Source organism: Homo sapiens, chromosome 6, assembly GCF_000001405.40.
Source record: "Homo sapiens chromosome 6, GRCh38.p14 Primary Assembly".
Taxonomy (NCBI): domain Eukaryota; kingdom Metazoa; phylum Chordata; class Mammalia; order Primates; family Hominidae; genus Homo; species Homo sapiens.
This window is the reverse complement of record NC_000006.12, coordinates 80,522,665-80,529,363: the sequence shown is the minus strand read 5'-3', so window position 1 is coordinate 80,529,363 and position 6,699 is coordinate 80,522,665. Positions and strand designations below refer to the sequence as shown.

The following is a 6,699-nucleotide window of genomic DNA, read 5'->3' as shown; positions in this document are numbered from 1 at the left end:
ATTGCAATGTTCACATTTAGTGAAAACTGAGGCCTCTAAAAGTTAAATGAATTTTCCCAAAGTTGCATTGTTTGTTAGTGTCAAAAATCGAACTATAACCCAATTTTCTTCCTTCTAGCCCAGTACTTATAATTTAAAATATTGGAATAAAATATAGTGAAAGATAATGTGAGCCATTATTAATGACAAAGATTAGTAATTGTTAAATTTACTTCTAATCAAGTTTTCCAAAATCTGTTTCTTGAAATTAAACTTGTAAGTACATATTCTTCTCCAAACCACCCAACTTCTTAGAAAATGTAATATCTGAACACCCATCTTAACTTTTTCTAAACCAAGAAACTTAAGCCTACTAGCTACTGCTTCTATTCTTGTGACCTACTCCATAGATTTTCTTTGGCAGCCCAGTAAAAACCTCACATGTTGAAATAATTTATTTCTGAACCTAATATCCCTCTGCAAATTCTTCCACTTGATTAACTTTTTTCTCTTTATCATTATCTCATAGATATTCTAACAGAATAGGAAAATTGCTGATTTCTCCAATTATGAAAATAAATTAAATGAATGAATTTGAGAGAGAAATGGAGAATTAACTTCTATAAATTTCTTGGATATTATACAAGTTTTAACTAATTTAAAGACAGCTTCTTGGGGTTTTTACTTGTAATCTAGTTACAATCTGTTTAAGAATAGGTGAGGTTCAAAATAGTTGTTTCTCAGCCATTTGGTTAAACTTTTAAAATAAACATCTATAAGCAGTCCCTAAAGCCCTTGGGCGGTGGGTGCTGGCAGAGTTGAGCCTTTGTGGTGTGCTGTAGGTATTTTTTATACCTGAAAAGTTTTCAGGTTAAACATTTGTAAAGGAAACTTTTTTCTGAGTGCAAACAAGGGACAGGGTACAAGGCTGATCTGGTGGTAATTAAGGGAAATTAACCAGGAACACATGTAGTCATCAGTTCTCCCCCTTGTCCCTGACTTTCAGAAGCACTTTTCACCAAGACACTAGTGGGCAGTGCCTTGCACAGAAGTTGCTTGTTTATCTTATCTTCATTGTAGCCACTCTGGAACAAGAACAGAAAGGAAATCCCCTGCAAGCTCTGTCTCCCAATTCTCTGGCTCTCAACATCACTGGTAGGAATGGAATACTAAGAGAGGCATTATTGAAACCAAACTCAGTCATTCTTGGCCCCTGGAGCACCATGGCAAGAATTGGGTACTTAGCACCAAATGACTTAGTTCTGAACAGAATGAATTGGCAGTACTGAAAAGGGAGATGGTTGTTTATAAATATTTCATGGAGTTAATGGAAAAAGTACTAAAGAGAAGCAAACAGTGTCACACAATGCACCTGGTAGACATGATGCACCACCTGAGGCATTTTCCAGTTAGCTTTGCCTTTTTGTACGTTGGGTTCTAGGAATCAAGTAAGTTCTTTTCTTTTCTGATTACTCTCGGTAGATTTGTTTCACTATTTACATTCCTATTACCAAACATGTTTGGCGGTACCTTTTTGTGAGAAACCAAGACCACGCATTTTCTGGATCTGCTAAAAACCTCTCTGACCCAGGGTACATCTGTAGAGATTTTGAAATCTGTATTTACACATAAAGGTACGTACACTGTGTAGAGCAGTAACTAAGCAACTATCATGTAATCTGATCCTGGAAGAGAACAAACAACGACTGTTTACTCTCTCTCATCCCACTTACATTTTTGAAAGCCCAAATAGAAAGTACTTATAAAAACAGCACTGAAACTGAATAGATAGGCTATTGGTGGTAATGACTTACTCACGTGTTGCTCAAACTTAAGAAGACCTTAGAGTGTTTTAAAATGTTTCCTCTACACAAGTGAACTTTAACCTTGATAAGGCTCACAACAATTATTGTATATAATTCAACTGTCCAAATATATGCTTAACTAGTATGTGGATGTGGAGTTTAGTATGAGTGACAAATCTAAAAACGCAGCATGCTATTTCATAGAGTGCATTCAAAAGTAAAGCCAAGGAGAACATTCTTCATGGGAGGCCTGTTCAGACATCAAAGTTCTGGATAATATTGACAAGGCTCATAAATTTGGAGGGGAAACCCAGTGTATTGCCCAAAAACTAAATCAAATATTTGGAAATAATTGAAAATATTTGTACAACTATGATCGAATATCAAAAATTAATCAACAAAAGAAATAAGAAATTTAGCCAGAGTAAGCAAACTAACATGATTTGAAATTCAGACAATCCCATTTGACAAGGAAAATATAGAAAACAGATTTTAATTCAGGTCCAATCTCTGGGACCAACCTCCACTTTTGATTTATACATGGAAAGCTCTTCAACTGGAAAAGAGTAAGGACGGAGCAAAAGGTGAAATAGCAAGAATACTGAGGGAAGAGTCACTCATGGCTCTTCTATACAGTCATAGATAACTTGGTTCCCAGAGAACCTAAAAATGGACAAGTTGTGACCAAAGCTTAGCCCTGATTCATTTCAGCAACTTGCTGACACTTCTTGAAGAATAATTCCAACTGTGTTGCATAGGGTTTGCCAGATGAAAAATGTAAAATGTCTTCCACATTAAGATCACGTGTGCTGTAAAGAAGTCGTTGACTTTACTGAAGCTTTTATTAAGCATATCTGATAGCCCAGAAATAATTTTCAGTTACCAGTCTCTTAAGGACTGTGCTTTTTTCTAAGCTATGATAACTGAAAATGTCCAAGGACATTTGGACTTCTCTGGGAAAAGTTCTAAAGGGGAGAAATACAGGTAATTCAGTGCATTGTTGATGTTCCAGCTACAAGAGTTTCCAGATGAGAATGAAGGTATCTACATAAAAAACACTGGTAATTCTAATTCTAGTGTTCAATTTGAGTGATTTTCCAGGCTCAGTGTCTCATCCCTATAATCCCAGCACTTTGGGAGGCAAAGGATGGCAGATTACTTGAGGTCAGGAGTTCGAGACCTGCCTAGCCAATATGGCAAAATCTCCTCTCTACTAAAAACAACAAAATTAGCCAGGCATGGTGGAACACACCTGTAGTCCCAGCTACTTGGGAGGCTGAGGCAGGAGAATCGCTTGAACCCAGGAGACAGAGGTTTCAGTGAGCCAAGATGGTGCCACTGCACTCCAGCCTGGACAACAGAGTGAGACTCCATCTCAAAAAGAAAAAACAAAACAAGTTTGAGTGATTTCAGAGCAAACAATTAATTACTGAAAAAAATAAAAATGTAATTATCTTCTTTTGTCGTGAAGAGATACTGAAGCCATGAACACATGGGAAAATATCTTTTTCCTGAGGATACGGCCAGCCATGCTCCTTACGTGGGGGCATATTGGAACAATTGTCCCGCAAAAGCCCGTGCTCTGGTTTCCAGAATGTCAGAAGCCATTCTGTGGTAGCTTCAAAAAGAAGCTTTTTGCTTGGAGAAAAGCCTCATGTGCCAGTGAACAGTTTTTAAAGAGATTTCTTCACCTTTCAGTTTTGATGAAAAAATTCATAGTGTTAGAGCTGTGACACCAAGAATTTTCAAACATGCCAACATCCACTATTAGAAAAGCTATCATATCTGCTGCTCCTGCTCCATATCACTCTTCGGCCTCTTTTCTGCTTTACATTTGTATGGCACATTTTTAAATCACTTAACATACTACGTACTTTTTACATATGTTTATCATCACAGCAAAGACTTTGTTTTATTCATGTTGAATAAAACATCTCTAGTGCTTAGATTGTGGAAGAAACATAATTACTCGATATGCTGTGCATATCAAATTCATATTCTCATTCCTATTTTATAAGAAAAAAAAAACCTGAGGCTCAAAGAGATTAAGTAATCTACCCAAGGACATATAGATGTAGATAATGATGTGGCAGATTCACTTGCTTTTTCCAAAGTGTTGACAAATTTAGCTACTTGGAGAAAAAAGCTTTCAGCAAATTAATGCTGTATTTGGAAGAACACATAGTTTAGATATCTCATATTCACTGCATGTATTATATTTGCTGAGCATTTTGTAGCCCATATATATATCTATCTATATATACTATGCTTTTATATATATATTCTATGCATATATATATATTCTACGCATATATATACATATATATATTCTATGTTTTAAAAGAGAGATGCCTCAAAAGGGAAGATTTGCAGGAAAACTCTACAATGATTTTTAGACCTTCATTTTGTGTACACATCATTTTGTGTGCACATATTCTCATTTATATTTTATACAGAAAAAAAACCCTGAGGATCAGAGAGATTAGGTAATCTACCCAAGGACATATAGATGTAGAATAGTAATCACTGGGTGTAAACATAGGTTAAATACCAACAGACTATGATGTGATCACTGTTTGGGGAGGATCACTCGATGATGATTATGACAATGACAATAAGAACAAACACTTGGGCAGTACTGACTATGGACTCCATGCTTTCTAAGCATATACAGTTGTCACTAACTCATCTCATCCGCACAGAAACCCTCGAAGTGTAAACTATTATTATCCCCACTTTACTGATAAGAAAACTAAGGCACAGAAAAGTAACTTGCTCAAAGACATACAGTAACTGTACATAGTTAAGCCAAGATTAAAACTGAGGCAGGCTAGCTTGAAAGTCTGTGCTTTAGCTCTCTACTCTCTTGACTTGAAAATGGCAAAGTGTGTCTTTATTCAGCAAGCCACTTGGCAAGTCTTGATCTTGAAGACAACAGAAGATGTGTGGATTGAATTGAAGCAAATTAGCAGGGTTTATATTTTATTAAACAAATTATGTTAAGCAATACTGATTAATTAAACAGTGTTACCTTAGAGGAAGGTTCCTAGACACATACCACAAGGTCCATTCTGTTCAGTATTTACATCACTTGAATGGATACACAGAAGACAAGCTCACCCAGTTAGCTGATGACAGCAACCTGCAAGGTTCTGCAAAGGTGTAGAATGGCATAGCTTTAAAATAACTGTGTAGCACCCTCACTGGAAGGAGAGTGACAGAGTGTTCAGAGAAGGGCAGCAAGGCTTCTCTTGAATCCTCCACCAGTGTTAATGCTCTTCTTTTCCTCTCTCCTCCTTCAGCCCCACTTCCTTTTCCTGTTTTAAGCTACAGCCTGTATCATGGTCTGTTGCCACTTGCAATGGGTTTGCTGTAATTTAGAATCACTGATGATGGTAACCTTTCTGTTACCCTGCTCCCTACCAAATACTGAATAGTCCTCCTATACCCAGGTGGATAAAAATAAAAACAGCTAAGGCAAAGTATCTTTCTAATTCCCCACCTTCTCATAATACCTTTAAAATCATTCTATCGTAGTTACTTGGTAAACGGCATTCTGCTCCCACGTCATTCACATTAATATTTAATGTTTGATCAATTTAAATGCATAGAGTTGCAAAGTGCACTCACAAATTCTTGGTAGTTTCCATTTGAAAATAGAAGGATGACTCACCAGGCTCTCCTTTTCCTGTAAACAAGCTTAGTGCAAAACACTTGAACCCTGTGTGTTTTTAATGTCCCTAACTTCTGAATGTTCCTGTGTGATAGGGGCGGATTAACGGCTCAAGCCATATAACAGTAGGTTGAGAACAAGCCTTCCAACTGCAAGCGGTGTTGTGTTTCCTGTAGACAGGTGGAAGCCGCCTCGGCTTCGGGCTCAGGGATGCGCCCTCTCCTGGCTCTGGGCCTTCTGCGCCTTTGTTCAAGGGCTTCGGCATCCACAGCTGGAGAGAAAGTGGCAAATACTAAGAGGAAGTAGCTAAAGAATTCCGGAAATTCTGCCATTTCCTTAACAGAGGTCCGCATAAATAGTAGAGCTCCTGCACCCCACCACATCTGCCCTGTCCACCTGACCCTCCTGCGCCATAAAAGAAAACACACCGAAGACCCAATGTGGACCACAGAGAAATTTGTTAGAGCTGTTGTTTCACTGGGTTTGACATTGACTTGAGGGAGCGGGACATCTAAGCTACTTTTAACAAATAACATCATTTATTAATGCCTCTCTGTGCCTGAAGCAACTCATTTGTTATAGTGCCTGGGAACACGGCCGTTGAGCTCATTTTCAAAGAAAAAGGAAGGAGGACACTGGAAAATGTTTCCTCTCAGGCAGACATGCTGATGAAAAGTTGCTTGGTATACGTCCAGATTTCTGTCTCTTGCTGAATTTTTAATCTTGTTTCTCTTGGATGAGCTTCACCGCTCTGGTTTTGACCACTGATACATGTGTAGGGGTTATGCTATTCTGAAACTATAGATTTTGTTTGACAGGGGCAGCACCTGGAAAAACTGGCTAAGGAAATAGTGGTATTTCTCTATTAACTCCCTTAGCACAGTCTCCATTCTTTACAGCTTTCTTGAGAAATTGTGTTAATAATAAAGCACGTTTGCAGTGAGCAATTATAGTTCATAGACTTTTCCTTGCTTTGCTGAAAAGGCATTACCTTCAAATGGATGCCAAATAGCAATGTTCTACATTCAAAGAGGATAAGGGGGTTGTGTGTCTTAGAACTACCTAAATCACTCCTGTAATTTGCAATGAGGAAAAGGGAGTAAATGTCCTCATGTAAAATTCAAAAGAAATACTGGGACAATATCTCCCATAGCAACAGCTGTTTTAGAAGTTCCGGCATGATTAACAAGCGTCTGTTTCATCTTTTTTTCCTTTGTTTAAAATCAGACTGCAGCCTGCTAA

The 6,699-nt window shown here is 37.8% G+C and overlaps 1 long non-coding RNA gene across 1 annotated transcript in view, besides 1 other annotated feature; it reads right to left on the bottom strand.

Moving 5' to 3' along the window:
* The window catches only part of LOC112267962 (uncharacterized), a 162,505-nt gene that overhangs the window by 118,117 nt on the left and 37,689 nt on the right, over window positions 1-6,699 (bottom strand). The window lies entirely within an intron of this gene.
* Window positions 5,458-5,752: a silencer, noted in NCBI's record as "tiled region #6183; K562 Repressive non-DNase unmatched - State 13:Ctcf". NCBI's record gives its function as "represses a minimal TATA promoter and a strong SV40 promoter by Sharpr-MPRA in K562 cells {active_cell/tissue: K562}" and the evidence as "EXISTENCE:reporter gene assay evidence [ECO:0000049][PMID:27701403]".